This window comes from Homo sapiens, chromosome 4, assembly GCF_000001405.40.
Source record: "Homo sapiens chromosome 4, GRCh38.p14 Primary Assembly".
NCBI lineage: Eukaryota > Metazoa > Chordata > Mammalia > Primates > Hominidae > Homo > Homo sapiens.
This window is the reverse complement of record NC_000004.12, coordinates 2,971,253-2,989,116: the sequence shown is the minus strand read 5'-3', so window position 1 is coordinate 2,989,116 and position 17,864 is coordinate 2,971,253. Positions and strand designations below refer to the sequence as shown.

The window sequence follows — 17,864 nt, the reverse complement described above, 5'->3', positions numbered from 1 at the left end:
CTCCGCCTCCTGGTTCAAGTGATTCCCCTGCCTCAGCCTCCCAAGTAGCTGGGACTACAGGCACGCGCCACCACGCCCGGCTAACTTTTTGTATTTTAGTAGAGACGGGTTTCACTGTGTTGGTCAGGATGGTCTCGATCTCCTGACCTCATGATCCGCCCGCCTCAGCCTTCCAAAATGCTGGGATTACAGCATGAGCTACTGCGCCTGGCCAAGTTTTTACATTTTCAAAAGCATAAGATTGGGTGGTTGCTCAATATGGAGATAAACTGCTCACCACTGCATCCAAGAATTCAATGTGCCTCTTTAGAGTGGGTTTGGTATCACAGAACTGCCTGAAGAGACGTCTTCCTATCGGTTGCTTGTCACAAAGACTGCTATAATCCTTTTCTGGGTGAAGCAAAGGGATAAGAAGCAAACAAATAGAATCATTACAGTCCACCACATGCTGTTCTAAGCCTTACAGTTCTCACTCGATACAGTAAAAGTCAAGAACAGTATTTGCCGTATTATTTTCATCTTGTTGTTGTTGTTGTTGTTTGTTTCAGACAGTCTCCCTCCTCTGTCGCCCAGGCTGGAGGGCAGCGGTACAATCTCCGCTCACTGCAGCCTCTGCCTCCCGGGTTCAGGCGATTCTCCTGCTTATCTGTTAAGCATCTAATATCTAGAACATAGAAAGAAATCTTATACCTCAACAACAAAAAGACAATCCAATTTTTAAAACGGATAAAAGATTGGAACAGACATTTCTCTAAAAGTTTACAAATGACCCATAAGCACATGAAAATATGCTCAACATCATTATTCATTAGAGAAATGCAAATCAAAACACAGTAAGATACTTCATACCCACTAGGATTAGATTCAATGAAAAATAAAGAGGAAAATCAAAAGCGTTGGGAAAGATGTGAAGCAACTGAACACATTGCTACTGGGAATGTAACACAGGGCAGTGGTTTGGAAGAGTCTGGCGTTCCTCAAAAAGTTAAACACAGAATTACCATATGATTCTACTTCTTTTTTTTTTTTTTTTTTTTTTTTGAGACAGAGCCTCACTCTGTCATCCAGGCTGGAGTGCAGTGGCATAATCTCAGCTCACTGCAACCTCTACCTCCCGGGTTCAAGCAATTCTCATGCCTCAGCCTCCTGAGTACCTTGGATTATAGGCACATGCCTCCACACCCAAGTAATTTTTGTATTTTTAGTAGAGATGTGGTTTTACTATGTTGGCCAGGCTGGTTTCAAACTCCTGACCTCAGATGATCCACCTGCCTTGGCTTGCCAAAGTGCTGAGATTACCGGCATGAGTCATGGCGCCTGGCCCAATTTTTGTAATTTTAGTAGAAACAGGTTTCACCATGTTGGCCAGGCTAGTCTCGAACTGCTGACTTCAAGTGATCCACCCACCTCAGCCTCCCAAAGTGCTGGGATTACAGCCGTGAGCCACTGCGCCTGGCCAACAATTCTGCTTCTGAGTACATACACAAAACAAGTGAAAGCACGGACTCAAACAGGTATTTGCACACCAATGTTCCCAGCAACACTATTCACACAGCCAAAAACTTGGAACAACCCAATGTCCATCAACAGATGAACAGATAAGCAAAATGTGGTATGTCCACGCAATATCCAACTCAATGCCACCGAACTGTACATTTCAAACAGTAATTTTTGTTATGTATATTTTATCATCATTTTTTAAAAGCCTAGTACATGAATATTCATAGCAGCATTATTCATAACAGGCAAAAGTAGAAAACAACTCAAATGTCTATTAACTGATGAATGGCTAAATAAAATGTGATATATCCATATAATGGAATATTATTCACCAACAAAAAAGGATGAAGTACTTTGACAACATTATGCTACGTAAAAAAAGCCTGTCACAAAAGACCACATAGTTTATGATTCCCATTTATATGAAATGTCTGGAACAGGCAAAGACATAGACAGAAAGTGGATTTGTAGTTGTCTAGCTCTGGAGGTAGCGGGCAGGAAGGAGTCAGGAGTGGCTATCAATGGGTGTGGCGTTTCTTTTTGGGGTGCTGAAAATGCTGTCAAATTGACTGTGGTGATGGTTTCACAACTCAATATATTAAAAACTATTGAATTATATACTTTAAATGGATAAGTTGTATGGCATATGAATTATATCTTCAAGAAGCAGTTATTTAAAATACTCAGTGGAGTTAAAACAATGGGGGGGTTACAACAATGAGGGAAATACTAGCTCCTTTATACCACCTGAAACTAATTTTTATAAATATAATACTTCATCATCTTTCTTTAAAAGGAACTACAATAGTACTAAAGGAAAGATGGATTGGTTTGTAAAAATAATCTTGGAATAAATGTGTCCTTCCTACAGATAACACAAAGCTCAGAAGCTAACCAGGAAAAGACTGATATATTTGTCTCTATAAAAATACTAAAACTTCTGTATGAAAAAAAGACACTGAGGGCCAGGCGCGGTGGCTCAGGTCTGTAATCCCAGCACTTTGGGAGGCTGAGGTGGGCGGATCACAAGGGCAAGAAATTGAGACCATCCTGGCCAACCTGGTGAAACCCAGTCTCTACTAAAAATACAAAAATTAGCCGGGCGTGGTGGTGGGCACCTGTAGTCCCAGCTACTTGGGAGGCTGAGGCAGGGAATCACTTGAATCTGGGAGGCGGAGCTTGCAGTGAGCCGAGATCATGCCATTGCACTCCAGCCTGGCGACACAGCGAGACTCTGTCTCAAAAAAAAAAAAAAAAAAAAAGATAACACCTTTTATATATAAAGAACTTTTATAAATGAATTAGAAAAGAAAAAGGAAACATTGAAAAAAAAAAAGGAAATGTTCTACCCCATCCATAATCGAGAAAAGAAACCATTTTTCAAATTGCAGTTTAGCAAATATTAAAAATACTGACAACAACCAGTATTAGCAAAGGCATCACAAAGAAAGTTTGTTACATACTGTTGACAGAAAGGTAAATTGATACAATCTTTTTGGCAGTGATTTAGCAATATCAAAATTTTAAATGCATGTACCCTTTGAACTGAAAATTCTATTGTTAAAAAATACAGTTATGATTGCTCTATAGACATGATTCTATATCTGACTTCTTTTTTTTTTTTTTTTTTTTGAGACGGAGTCTTGTTCTGTCACCCAGGCTGGAGTGCAGTGGTGGGATCTCCAAGCTCCCCAGGTTCACACCATTCTCCTGCCTCAGCTTCCCAAGTAGCTGGGACTACAGGCGCCCGCCACCTCGCCCAGCTAATTTTTTTGTATTTTTAGTAGAGACGGAGTTTCACCGTGTTAGCCAGGATGGTCTCGATCTCCTGATCTCGTGATCCGCCCACCTCAGTCTCCCAAAGTGCTGGGATTACGGGCGTGAGCCACCACACCCGGCCTTCTGTATCTGACTCCTTAGGCTCATGTTAGGACCTGTAGCTAACTCTCATTCTTTACAGTTGCAGAGTATTCTGTTACACTGATATACCATATTTTTATCTGACTAATCCTTTCCTGAAGATCATTAGAAATTTTTCTTTTCTTTTTTCTTTCTTTCCCTCATTAATTTTTTTTCTCAAGACAGGTCTCACTATGTTGCCCAGGCTAGACTCAACCTCTTGGGCTCAAGGGATCCTCCTGCCTCAGCCTCCTAAGTAGGTGCACCTACAGGTATGTGCCACCATGCCTGGCTCAATAATTTTTTTTTTTTTTTTTGAGACAGAGTCTTGCTCTGTTCCCCAGGCTGGAGTGCAGTGGTGTGATTTCGGCTCACTGCAAGCTCCGCCTCCCGGTTTCACGTCATTCTCCTGCCTCAGCCTCCCAAGCAGCTGGGATTACACACACCCGTCACCGCACCCAGCTAATTTTTTTGTATTTTTAGTAGAGACGGGGTTTCACCGTGGTCTCGATCTCCTGACCTCGTGATCCGCCCACCTCGGCCTCCCAAAGTGCCGGGATTACAGGCGTGAGCCACTGCGCCCGGCCTGGCTCAATAATTTTTTAAAACGTGCATAGAAAACTGTCTGGAAGGCTACTAAACAATACTTAACAGTGTTTCTTCTACAGACAATAATTGGCTCGGTCATGGGGAGAGGAATTTTTACTTTTTCTTCAGTAATGTATAGAACAATGAGTATATATATTACTTGTAAAAAATGTTTCTAATGGGGAGCGGGCATAGTGGCTCACACCTGTAATCCCAGCACTTTGGGAGGCCAAGGTGGGCAGACTGCTTGAGCTCAGGAGTTTAAGACCAGCCTGGGCAACATGGTGAGACCCCACCTCTATAAAAAATATATATTTTTAATGAAAAAGTCAACAGCCAACTTTATAACTGCAGATCAGAAAATCTAAAGGATTTTTTTTCCTGAGAGGAATCATGAAGATATAAGGAGAATTTATCATAAAATGTTTGAAACAAACATGGAACTCAAGAAAGAATAACATCTAATGAATGGTATCATGCCAGATGTACCATCCAAGCATTAGTAGGCACTATTTACTCACCAATGGAATGTCTAAGCTCACTGCACTGGCTGACAGGAGGCAGTGTCAGTATCTCCTTCCATTTTTTACTACGACCACTTTTTTTGCCATATCCTCCTGAATTTGGGAGAAAAAAGGCAATTTCCTTTAACAGTCAGAAATATCCAATTATAACAACTACTTCCACCAATATATCTTAACATTTCTGTTTGAGTGGTTTGGGTACCTATCATGAATAAAAATACATGCTTATAATAATTTGTCTTATCTGGAAAGCTGCTTGATGAAGTATAAAATTCCCAAGGGAAGCAATCTGTCACTAGCTCTGCCATTTAGAAGCCATGGTGAGCCTCAGTTTCCAAATCTGTAAACAAGATCTAACATGACATATTGTTCAGGGCTGCTTATAAGTATTTATCAAAGAAATATTTATTGAGCATCTACTATGTACCAAAAACCTTCAAAGCACTAGGCATATGATGGTAAAAAAGACCAAGTCCCTCCCTCGCATTCTAAGTGAGGGAGTGATATGGTTTGGCTCTGTGTCCCCACCCAAATCTCATCTCAAATTATAATACCCACATGTCGAGGGAGGGACCAGGTGGGAGTCCCGTGATTGGATCGTGGGGACGGATTCCCCATGCTGTCCTGCGATAATGAGGGAGTTCTCATGAGATCTGATGGTTTTAAAAGTGGCAGTTTCCCTTGTGCTCTCTCTCCCCCTCTCTCTCTCCTGCCACCATGTAAGACGTGCCTTGCTTCCCCTTCGCTTTTCACCATGATTGTAAGTTTCCTGAGGCCCCTCTAGCCATGCAGAACTGTGAGTCAATTAAACCTCTTTTATTTATAAATTACCCAGTCTCAGGTAGTATCTTCACAGCAGTGTGAAAATGGACTAATACAGGGAGACAGGTGCACAAATCAGATAATGATAAGAGATAAGAAAAAAATGCTAATCATATAGTGATAAATATGAAACAAAATCAAGCAGGGTAAAGGTGGAAGGTGCTGTTTTGACTAAGGTAGGATCAGAGAAGACCTCCCTACAGGGGTCACATTTAGGCAGAGGCCTGAAGGATGTGAGTGGCAGAGTCTTGGCAAGTGCTGGGAGAAGAGCATCCCATGGTGAAACCAGAATGATGGAAAAGGCTACACTATAATACTTCAGAAAGATCTTTTAAACAAGCACCATTTTTTCTTTAATTCAACTCAGAGAAATGAGCATCTTCAATCTCAAGCCTTCTGGGCAGCTAAAATTTTACTGAATTTTATCCAGGAGAACATAATGGCTTAGGCTGGGTGACTAAGACTCCAGGACCATTTGGAAGAATTAGGAAACCAGGGCAAAAGCCACATTTCCTTGGAACACGATGAGCTCTGTCTTAAATACGGTGAGTGTGGAAAATTGTAAGAGACAGACATTTGGAAGATGGGTAGACTGGGATGAGCTCAGAAGAGGCTCGGCTAGAGATACAGACTTGATATCTGCAAAAAAGAAAACCATCAAAGATGTAAGAGCTTCTTCCTCAGCCTTAGTTTTGCTCTTCTACTCCCCCTACTCAATATTTCAACTGAGATCATGAGCTCTGGACTCACGTCCCACACCACAAGATGTCCAGAGCACCTGGCATTCAACATGTTCACCCTAGACTCATAATCTTCCCCCTCAAATCCAGTCCACATTTTTTCTTTCTGTTAAGATTTGTTTATTTAATAAACATGTAACAACCACCTGCCAATGCCAGAGAATATGTCAAGTGCTGTGTCAGTGACAGCCATGTCCTATGTCACTGAAGGGTGGGGAAAGGGTGACCTGTTCCTCCTGTCCCTTCACAGAGAACACAGAAACTCATTCCAGAGAAGCAGTAGGCACTGAAAAAAGGCTATCATCTTTGGTTATGGGTTATTTTTTTCAGGGTTATTGCTGGTTCTCCCTTCAGTTGAAATAAGAACTGTTCTTTGGGATATGCCATTTTTATCTGACCTCTTAAAGGAGTACAGAGCTGAGCTGTCACTTGCCTGATGCAGTATTTTGCCCTCTAGATTCCACAAGTGGAAAACAAGCATGATCTACAAGTGCCCTGAGACATGGCTTACATCTTCAGTGGTGCTTCTGTGCCCAAGCTGCTGAATCATTGAGCAGAGAACAAGTCCCTCTTGGTCTTATTCATATTTCACTATCTCTGCTTTCTCTTGTTCCCTGGCTTCTCCCAACTTTACACTACTCAAGTAACTAGCAAGAAACATGGCAGCCTGGCTGCTATGTCCTTCCTTTCCTAAGCCTGACACTGCCTGTAGGCTTAGAACCAGTGCTTCCACCTTCCCAGGATCCAAGCAGCGAGGCAGGCAGGGCCTGGATGAGGTGGTGCTGGCAGCAGTGGCCAGTGCCGGCGGAAGCCAGGAACAGGTGGGAGCCCTACCCCCTTCCAGGTTGGTGGGGCAGGAGCCCCACACTACTGGGAGCAGCTGCAGCCACCCAGCCACAGCTGCTGACCTGGGCATCCCTGTGCTCTCAGGAGCCCAGGAAGCCCCCCTGCCCCTGCAGGCTCAGAAGTGCCTGTTCCCACTGACTGGCCTCTCACTGCTCCTGGCACCTGCTCCGATTTTGGATCAAAGTTGTGGCTGAGCCCAGGCACTGTCACAACCCAGCCAGGTGTGTGCACGATAGGGGCGGTGCTGACACACCAGCCACCTGCCACCTCAGCCCCCTCCAGACTTTGGACACCAATGAGCATGGCAGGGAGGCCAAGGCGTGGCTGAGTTCAGCTCAGTGCAGGCCAGGGCACACAAACAGCCAGGGCACCATGAACAAGGGCAGGAGGCAGACAGGCTCCTGGGTAGAAAGGGGCAGGGTCCCCAGTGAAACCTCACCTTCAAGCCAGGGATAGACTGAAGCCTGACAGCCGGGCTGCCAGTTCTGCAGACTGGAGTGAGAACTTATGGTGGTTTTTCTGGGCCCGCCCACGGACCAATCAGCATGTACTTCCTCCCCTCTGAAGCTTATAAAAACCCCAGACTCAGCCAGACTTGGGCAGAAAACAGGACAACCTGCCTGCAGAGAGGTGCTACCCACTGTGGGTCTCCTTTCCACTGAGGGCTGTATACTCATCAGGACAACCTGCCTGCAGATAGGAGCTACCCACTCCAGGTCTCCTCTCCTCTGAGGGCTGCACAGACGATGGGATGATCTGCCTGCAGAAAGGAGCTACCCATTTTGGGTCTCCTGAGAGCTGTACTGTCACTCAATAAAGCACCTCTTCTTGCTTACCCTCCAGTTGTCTGTGTACCTCATTCTTCCTGGACATGGGACAAGAACTTGGGACCCACTGAATGGTGGGACTGAAAGAGCTGTAATACAAACAGGCTGAAGCACACCCCCCAACTCACCACGTTGTGGGTGATGAGAAGGAGAGAAGAGAGGAGATAAGAGCTGTGGCCCCTTGGGGAGCCGAGACTTAGGACCTCCCCCAGCCAAGGCTGTGACACCCTCTTTGAAGCTCTGTGGTTCCTGAAGTCTCCAAGCTTCTGGGCGCCACCGCATTCCCTGGCACCCACAGTGGCAGCTGCTTGCAGTACGCTTGGTCTAGCCACAGCCACAGCAGGTAACCAGCGCCTGTGCCTGGAGCTGCCTGCCCTGCCACAGCTGGCATGCCTGGCTGTGCCCAATGGCCAGACCCCACACTCATTTGCTCATGCAACCCTTGCTGCTCTGCACCTGGCTTGCCCTTGGCAGGCATGGGATCTGGACCAGTAGTGAAAGACAAGCACAGCCTGCCAGGCCAAGTGGGTGGAAGGAGCCCAGTGGGCCCAAGCAAAACTCAGGTAAAGCCGCCACTGGCCACAGAAGTCTCCAGCTGGTGAAGTGACACCCTAAGGATCCTGTGACAGTGGCACAGCCGCTCAGCCCCAGTGGGTTTGTGTTCACGGGTATGTGGCACTGACGGTGGGGTAGGGTGGCAACAAGAGGTAGGCTGGATGCATTACCCAGGACTAGCCTGTCAGGCAAGAGGTGAGCTGTTCTGCTCCTCACAGATGGGCCCAAGGAAGACAAGGCTTCCAGTGAGTCCCTGTGCCTCATCTAGGTGCTGTTCTGGGGTATTTGCACATTGAGATCTCAGCATCTAGTAGGCTTGTTGTGGAGATTAAATAGGATAACTTGTATAGAAAGGTACCAGGCCCATGAGTGGGGTTCAGTGTTCCTTCCCTTCCCCTTTAGGGTATGTTTCCTACATCGACAGAAGATTCCCACTGAAGACTGGTTCCCGGGTTCCCATCTTGGATGATGAGGGAAACAAGTCAAGGTGCTAGGCTTTCCTCTTCATCCTGGCTGCTGCCACTCCCAGCCAGCTCCAGGCAGTGAAGGCTCCAGGGAGGCTGGGTGGCCATGGCAGCCCCAGTCATCCTTCCATACTGTGAATCCTGGCTAACAAATTATTTATTGAGAAGACATCTGCTGTCCATGTCCAGTGTGCCAGGCACTGTCCAGGCTCTGGGTACCCTGTGGAGGGTCAGGCAGCTGGTCCTAACAGGATGAAAGCACTCTTGTCAGACCCAAAGAAACTTGGAGCTGGGAAGGCACAAAGAAGGGTTCTTGCTTACATGTCTGAGATAAGAACCATTAGGAGGAGTGTCTAAAATAACCCCACAAGAAATTCTTTCACATCCTTCATGCATTTCATGCTTTTCACAACCTACATTTGGCACATATGCAGGTATTTCTGAGACCAGGTACACTGGACCATTTTTTTTCTTTTTTGAGATAGGGTCTTGCTCTGTCACCCAGGCTAGAATGCAGAATGCAAGTCTCACTGCAGCCTTGACTTCCTGGACTCAAGAGATCCAGCTACCTCAGCCTCCTCAGCAGCTGGGACCACAAGCATGCACCACCACACATGGATTTTTTTTGGGGGGGTAGGGGGACGGAGTTTCACTCTTGTTGCCCAGGCTGGAGTGCAATGGTGTGATCTTGGCTCACCACAACCTCCGCCTACTGGGTTCAAGCAATTCTCCTGGCTCAGCCTCCTGAGTAGCTGGGATTACAGGCATGTGCCACCACGCCCGGCTAATTTTGTATCTTTAGTAGAGACAGGGTTTCTCCATGTTGGTCAGGCTGGTCTCGAACTCCTGACCTCAGGTGATCCGCCCGCCTCGGCCTCCCCAAAGTGCTGGGATTACAGGCGTGAGCCACCGTGCCTGGCCACTCTTTTTTTTTTTTTTTTTTTTTTTGAGACAGAGTCTCCCTCTGTCACTCAGGTTGGAGTGCAGTGGCACCATCTCAGATGATTGCAACCTCCACCTCCTGGGTTCAGGTGATTCTCCCACTTTAGCCTCCAGAATAGCTGGGATTGCAGGCGCCTGCCACCACACCCAGGTAATTTGTGGGGTTTTTTTTTGTTTTTTTTTTTGAGACGGAGTCTCGTTCTGTTGCCCAGGCTGGAGTGCAATGGCGCGATCTCGGCTCACTGCAAGCTCCACCTCCTGGGTTCACACCATTCTCCTGCCTCAGCCTCCCAAGTAGGTGGGACTATAGGCGCCCATCACCATGCCTGGCTAATTTTTTTGTATTTACAGACGGTGTTTCACCACGTTAACCAGGATGGTCTCGATCTCCTGACCTCATGATCCGCCTGCCTTGGCCTCCCAAAGTGCTGGGATCACAGGCGTGAGTCACCGTGCCCAGCCTAATTTGTGTATTTTCAGTAAGAGACGGGGTTTCAGCATGTGGGCCAGGCTGGTCTCGAACTCCTGAACTCAGGAGATCCGCCCACCTCGGCCTCCCAAAGTGCTGGGATTACAGGCATGAGCCACTGTGCCTGGCCACACATGGCTATTTTTTTAAAAAGCTTTTGTAGAGAAGAGATCTTGCCATGTTGCCCAAGCTAGTCTCAGACCCCTGGGCCCAATCGACCCTCCTGCCTCAGCCTCTCAAACAACTGGGATTACAAGCATGAGCCACCTTGCCTGGCCTGGACTTTTTTTAGGACGGCAGCAATTGAGATAAGATGCTCTTGAAAGAACACCTGCCCCCTAGTGGCATCTCCACCACAGAACTGATGCCAACTACGATTTTGAGCCTCTGGAACCAGTGAACTCTGTTTCCAAGCAGCTTATGTGAACCTCTCCCTGTCTGCCAAATAAAAGCTTCCTCTTCCTTTCCCCTTTTCGGGTGCACCTGTGGCTCGCCATGGCTGTGCATCCCAAATTATAATCCTCTTTGCTTACTCCCTAATTCATTCATTAAATTCAGAGATATTTTTCTCTGATATCTTTTTTTAGATTGACAATAGAATCGATTAGCTCAATTACAGAATCCTATCAGACCAAGTTTTTAAAAGATTCTTAAAAACTTAGCATATTATCAATTAGCTTAATGTGTGAAGCCACAGTCTATGAGATAACCAAGAACCTTCTACATAAAGTAATTTTAAAGATGAAAGTTGTTTTCCCTTTTTCTTCCCACTCAATATGGATCTTTAGGATAGATTAATACAGCAACTGACTTTTAGGAATTTCTATAAAACCTAGTTTATTCTCAATTTTAGCTGTAAAAAAGAAGGAAAATATTTTATTGTCAAAAGAGATATAGTCAGGGCACCAAAGGCTCATGTTACAAAAGAAAAAATAGGCAAAATGAACTTCATAAGCCCATGGAATGGGGGAAAACATTTGCACATTATATACCTGATAAGGGATGAGTAATCAGAATATATAGTGAACTCCTAATAGTCACAACAGAGCTGCTGCTGGGAAGTGGCAGCCCAATGAGGGACATTTCCCAGTCCCCTGTGGGGAGGGGGGCCATCTGACTGTGATCTGGACAACAGAATGTGGACAGAAGTGTTTATGCCACTTCCACGCCTGGCCTGGAAGAATCTCCCACACGGTTCTCCGTGCTCTCTCGCTTCTTTGTTTCGTAGATGGACCGAGATCCACAGGAGGATCTTGGGAGCCATGTGCTGATGACTCAGAACTTCTGCCAGCCTGGAATCCTCAATGACTGCACAAAGCACAGTCTACTCACCCACTCCCTCCCTGACCGCCCTCAACGTGGCTTTTATGGAAATGAAAAATAAATTCTATTCTTATTGCTCCACAAACAACAGAGATTTTAAGGTTTACCTGTTACAGCAGCAAGTATCAGTTTAACTGATACAGATGTCAGTATCTAGAGGGAAATATTAACCTAATAAAAAACCCTGGGTAAACAGATGGTCTAGCAGTAGGCGTAGCAGCCGGAGCTCTGCGTTATTCAGTAGCAGCAACACATTTAGTTCAGTGTTGTCTGTGATGATAACTCAAGAGGCAGCACACACAGACCAAGTGCTTGGAGAGCCCCACGCTCTAGCAAACAGGTCAAACAGCAGTAGTATGCGCTGTTACTCATCATACCGAGGAAGGTATTTTGCTGGGGAAGGGAGCTCAAGCAAGAATTGCTGGCTTTGTAAGCAGCAATAAAAAAAAAGTGCAAACAGACCAGAAATTTGGGCCTTTAGAGAGTATGAAAGGCCGCCTGTTCCTGGACCCCCAAACAGTGGAAAATAAGACTGGAAAAGGCTTTGAAAGACAAAAGCAGATAAAAACTCAGCTCTGTGCAGCAAGCAGATCAGGGGTGTGGTTTTCCCACCCATACTGCTGCCTCAAGACAGCCCCCAACTAATCTGGGGAGTAGAGACTTGAAAGAAAGAAAATTCGGCCGGGTGCGGTGGCTCGCGCCTGTCATCCCAGCACTTTGGGAGACCGGGGTGGACAGATCACCTGAGGTCGGCAGTTTGAGACCAGCCTGACCAACATGGAGGAACCCTGTATCTACTAAAAATACAAAATTAGCCGGACGTGGTGGCATGTGCCTGCAATCCCAGCTACTTGGGAGGCTGAGGCGGGAGAATCACCTGAACCTGGAAGCGGAGGTTGTGGTGAGCTGGGATCATGCCGTTGCACTCCAGCCTGGGCAACAAGAGCAAAACTCTGTATCAAACCAAAAAAAAAAAAAAAAAAAAAGAAAGAAAGAAAATTCAAGCTTGAGAATGTGTCTAGGAAAGAACGGTGGGTGCAACTACTGGCACATGGAACTGGCTGGAAGCAAACATATCATCAAAGGACAAAATTACATCAAATTTCAAATTGGAATCTAGTTGGCTTTTATTTGCAATGCTAGAATTGGGCAACACCTCCTTCTAAAAAACAGAATGCAGCCTGGGCAACATACTGAGACCCCATCTCTAAAAAAAAAATTACTCAGGCATGGTGGTGTGCACCTGTAGTCCCAGCTACTCAGGAGGCTGAGGTGGGAGGATCACTGGAGCCTAGGAGGTCAAGGCTGCAGTGAGCCATGACTGCGCCACTGCATTCCAGCCTGAGCAACAGACAAGAGCCTGTGAAAGAGAGGGAAAAAAAAACAAGGAAGAAGGGAAGGAGGAGGGAGGGAAAGAGAGAGAAAGAAAGAGAGAAAGAGAAAGAAAACAATGAGTGTTTCAATGAGCTAAACAGAGGAGTTTGGTTTTATAGGCAGAAAAGGGCTGAAGCAAGCAGACACAGAGAACAAAAAGCAGACTAGTCCTTTCAGAGTTACTTCCCTTGCTCCTTGCCCCTTGCAAAGGTTGAAGCAGAGGGGACCTCCTTATCATGCTGGCTAAAACCGGCCTGTTTGGGGATTTGGCTACTATGTATCTCTCCTGATTTCTCCAAAGGTCAAACAACTTTCAGCATGGTGACATGGAACTTTAGCAGGACTGACTCAATTTTGGTTTGATTTTTGGGGCCTAGTGCAGGAGCTCAGTACAAACCAATGGCCACCTATAAATTTAGCTTAACAAGATCAAAAGCTGACTATGTTTCTGAGAGAAATATAGTGCTGAAGAACTTGGATCCAGGATGAAGACAGCCTTGAACTGCTTGAGCCTTGAAACAACCTTCAAGCCCACAAACTTAAATCCGTAGAAGTGGGTCTGCAAAGCTCTGCACTGCTCCAGAAACCTGTGGAGGTTTCATCTGTCTGTCCATGTTAGCCGGCTCAAGGAGGAAAATGTCCTGGGGGTGGAGCCATGGGACACAGTGAACACAGGTGAGGGCAGAACTGGGCGCTAATCAAGGAATGTTCCCCACCCGCACAGGGCCCTTTTGCTGACGGGCCAGTGTCTACTGAGGGCTCCCTGCTCCTCCTTTTCTAAAAGGGAATTTCTACAATAGTCACCCTGCCTCTGCTCCCCCACGGTATATTAGGTATGAGGAGGGAAGATCATTTGGTTCTTTATGTAGGCTGCGGAATCCTGAGGAGCCACGTCTGGCCCTCATGGAGGAAATAGAGCAGAGGTCTTTCCGGTCTTTTTTTGAGACAGAGTCTGGCTCTGTGGCCAGGCTGGAGTGCAGTGGTGTGATCTTGGCTCACTGCAATCTCCACCTCCCAGGTTCAAGCGATTCTCCTGCCTCAGCCTCCCAAGTAGCTGGGACTACAGGTGCGCGCAACCACGCCCAGCTAATTTTTGTATTTTTGGTAGAGACAGGGTTTCACCATGTTGGCCAGGATGGTCTCGATCTCCTGACCTCATGATCCATCTGCCTCAGCCTCCCAAAGTGCTGGGATTACAGGCGAGAGCCACCGCGCCCGGCCTCATTCTGGTCTTTGAAGGGAGATTAGGATACCTGTAAGGGAAGAAGGCTGTGCATGGATATTTGGTGGCTAGAGGGCAGACATGGCACAGACAGCCAGCTGTCCTATGCCAACTCAAGACGCACTCCCATTATGCAGAGTCGTTGCCAGGATGTGGCTGCCCAGCTAGTACTTCTGTGGCTCTGCCCCCTTTGCAGTTAAAAGTGGCCATGTGACAGAGCAATGTATAAAACAGGTGTACCACTCGGGTGACAGGTGCACCAAAATCTCAGAAATCACCATTAGAGAACTTTTCCATGCAACCAGAACACCAACTGTTTCCCCAAAACTATCAGAATAAAAAACAACCAAAAACGGGTGTACCCACTTCCAGGGTTGGACCATAAAGCCCTCCTGTCTGATCCTCCACATTACCTGAGCTAAGTACTTTCCTCCATGACTGTCAGCTTCTCAGAAGGAGATATTCATCTGTTTTTATTCATCCCTGTATCCCTAGAGCCAAGCTTAGTGCCTGGCACACAATAAACCGTTTTTGAGTGAAACTGAAGTAACTGACACCGTCGTTGAGATAGTATAAAGAGGGCACTGAGATATAAAGCCCAGGTCTGGCTGGCTCCAAAGCCCATGATCTTAACTGCTATTCATACATTCATTCATTCATTCAACAAATATTTACTGAGCATCTAATGTGTGCCAGGAACTGTTCTAGGCATGAAAAATACAGCAGTGAACAAAGCAAATAAAACTTCCTCCTCTTATAAAGCTTAATTTTAGGGAGAAAGCCCGACGAACAAAGTACAAGTAAAATATACGTATATGAGATAATAATAAGTGCTATGGGAAAAAATAAAGGAAGAAAAATAAAGAGTAAATGAGAGCCGGGTGTGGTGGTGTGTATCTATAATCCCAGCTACTGGGGAGGCTTAGGTGGGCTCGCTTGAGCCCGGGAGTCCGAGGCCAGCCTGGGCAACATAGCGAGACCCTGTCTCCAAGGAAAAAAAGAGTGAATGAGGGAAGGGGTAGTGGTCAGGAAATTCCTCAGGTGAGAGAACAAGCCCCGTAAGAAAAAATTCTCAAGAGACAGAGGAAACCGTGTGGAGGCAGAGTGAGAGAGGGCGGATGAGGTTGGGGCGGCGGTCTTAAGGCCACTGCAGAGACTACGGCTTTCACTCTGAGCTGTCTGGGAAGCCATGAAGAGAGTTCAGAGGAGGGGCCGACACAATCTGGCTTAAATTTTAATAGGACCACTCTGGCTGCTGTGCTGAGAACGGGCTGTCAGGGGGAAAAGGCAGAAGCTGACCACGGTGTTCCAGGTGAGACGCTGACGGCTTGAGCCAAGTGACAGCAGTGGAGGAGGTGAGAAAAGGTCGGAATCTGCTGCGTTTTGAGTTGAGGGCTGAACACTCTGTCCAAGGATTGAGTGTGGGGGTGCGAGTAAGTCAAGTGCAGCTACATGAGCATTAACTGAGGTGCAGATGGAAACATCGGGGTGCTGGGGTTGAGTATTTGGGGTCTGGTACAGGCTCTTTCTCGTACCAATGAGGCTTCCATACAGCGATGTCAGGTAGGCAGCAGCACAGTGAGCTGCAAGTTGAGTGGAGAGGCCCAGCCTGCAGGCGTGAACTGGTGACAGGAGCTTCTTTCAAGCCATAGTACTACAAGATCACAAGGGAATGAGTGTGGATAGAGAAGGCGAGAAGCCCCTGGACAAAGACGGGGGGCATTTGGTATTAAAAGATCTAGAAGATAAGGGGGGACCAGCCAAGCCATCTGAGGCAAGCAGCGCAACAGGAAGGGTGATGATGCAGAACACGCTCACGGAAGAAAGCATGACGTGCCACGTCAGTGCAGCCCACGGGGGCAGCAAGACAAGGACCAAGAACTGATGCCTGGGATGTGGCAAGGGTGGCTTTGGTGAGGTGGTGGAGGTGAGGACTCAGCACCCAGCATCTAACTGACCCCACACTTGTTTGAAGAGTAAATAACAAGGCCAGGTGCAGTGGCTCACACTTGTAATCCCAGCACTTTGTGAGGCTGAGTTGGGCAGATCACTTGGGTTCAGGAGTTTAAGACCAGCCAGGGCAACATGGTGAAACCCCATCTCTACAAAAAATACAAACATTAGCTGGGGATGGCAGTGTACACCTGTAGTCTTAGCTACTCGGGACGCTGAGGCAGGAGAGCTGCTTGAGCCCGGGAGGTGGAGACTGCAGAGAACCGAGATCATGCTGCTGCACTCCAGCCTGGGTGACAGAGTGAGACCCTGTCTCAAAAAAAAATTTTTTTAAAGAGTAAATAACACACACACACAGCAGCGCACACACTGTGCACCTCTAAACACAGGACTCCCCCTCCGCCCCCGCCACATATGACTAGACCTGGTGGGGCATGAAGCACACACTGCACACTGCAGCTACAAAAGGTCCCCTGGCTTGGTCTAAGGGACAGAGTGTCACAGGTTAAAGAGAGAGAGAGAGAGAAGAAAGGGCCCCCCCCCGCAGGTTTGGGGCACACGTGCTGGTGAACCCTAGCGCCACTCTACCCCTCATTCAGCTGTCCTCAGTTCCAAAAGTCTCCACTGGCACAGCACAGCAGTCTGGTTCCACGTCCCCGCTGTTTGGCCCGGGCCCGGTCATACTCAAAGGTGGGCCGGCTATGCTGTCAATACTACGTAAAGACAAGGAGGCCAGAAGGTGAAGAACCAGGCAGAGCATGATGAGTCGTGGGGCCATGGCGAGGTCAACGGTGGTCGGCAGGGCCACAGGCATTTCAAAGGAGGACCATCCACAGACACTAAAGTCTGGGCAGCATACTGGGTTGAAAACTGTCAGAGGATTCCTCTTAAGTTTTTGAGGTCCCCAAAAGCAGGCAGTAAAGTGGGGCCACAGTGTTTGAAGGCCCAAGGATCCCCTCTATGGGCTGCCTTCATCTGTTTCAGAGGTACCTGTTACAGGTTGAATTCGTCCCATCCTAAAAAACGTTTATGTTAGAGTTCTATTCCCCAGTTAGCCCCTAACCCTCAGACAGTGATCTTATTTGGAGATAGGGTATTTATAGAGACAATTAAGTTAAAATTAGGTCATTAGGGTGGGCCCTAATCCAACATGATTGGTATCCTTATAAAAATGGAAAATTGGACACAGACACACCCACAGAGGGCACGCCACGTGAAGATGAAGACAGATCAGAATGATGCACCTCCAAGCCAGGGGACACCAGAGACTGCCAGCGAGCCAGCAGAGGCTGGGAGAGAGGCCTGCGACAGATTCTTCCTCACAGCCCACAGAAGGAACCAGCTCCACTCACAACTTGATTTTGCACTCCGGCCTCCAAGACTGTGAGACAATAAATGTCTGTTGCGGGAGACATCAGGTTTGTATCACTTTGTTACACAGCCCTAGCAAACTCACACAATACTGTCCTCCCCGCTTTCTTCTTCCTGCTATTCCTGCCAAGTTTCTTTTCCTTCCATTTTTGGGCCACTTCTGCTTCAGATCCAGGCATACCTACCGTGTTCATTTCCTCATCCTTATTCATTCATTCATCCATCAGGTATTTATTGAGAACCTACTATAGGCCACAACATTATGCAAATGACCTCAGAGAAGCATATAAAGGGCTTCATGAGGTGCTGACAGTCCTCTGGCCAATGAAGCAAGCAAAGCTGGGCAAAAGGTGCTGAAACAAGCATGAAGAATCCTACAGATTATTTTGTTTGAGGTAAAGGTAGCAAAGCACAAAAATGTAATATGAGACTATTAATTTGTACT

At 47.0% G+C, this 17,864-nt stretch overlaps 1 protein-coding gene across 28 annotated transcripts in view; it reads right to left on the bottom strand.

Annotated features, from left to right (window-relative positions):
- GRK4 (G protein-coupled receptor kinase 4) overlaps nt 1–17,864 on the bottom strand; it is a 77,190-nt gene that overhangs the window by 51,644 nt on the left and 7,682 nt on the right. For 20 of the 28 annotated variants that reach the window (XR_924941.3, XR_001741210.2, XM_011513447.3 and 17 more), the window contains exons 2-3: nt 4,509–4,604; nt 278–390 (exon numbers count right to left, since the gene is read on the bottom strand). The exons of 2 other annotated variants lie outside the window; for them this stretch is intronic. Coding sequence is in view for 22 of the 26 variants with exons in the window: in XM_011513447.3 (XP_011511749.1) it covers nt 278–390; nt 4,509–4,604 (209 nt within the window). In the remaining 4 variants the exon portion in view is untranslated. Of the gene's footprint in view, nt 1–277; nt 391–4,508; nt 4,605–17,864 lie in introns of those variants that run through there. 6 more of the 28 variants (XM_011513449.3, NM_001004056.2, NM_005307.3 and 3 more) reach the window with 3 other exon arrangements.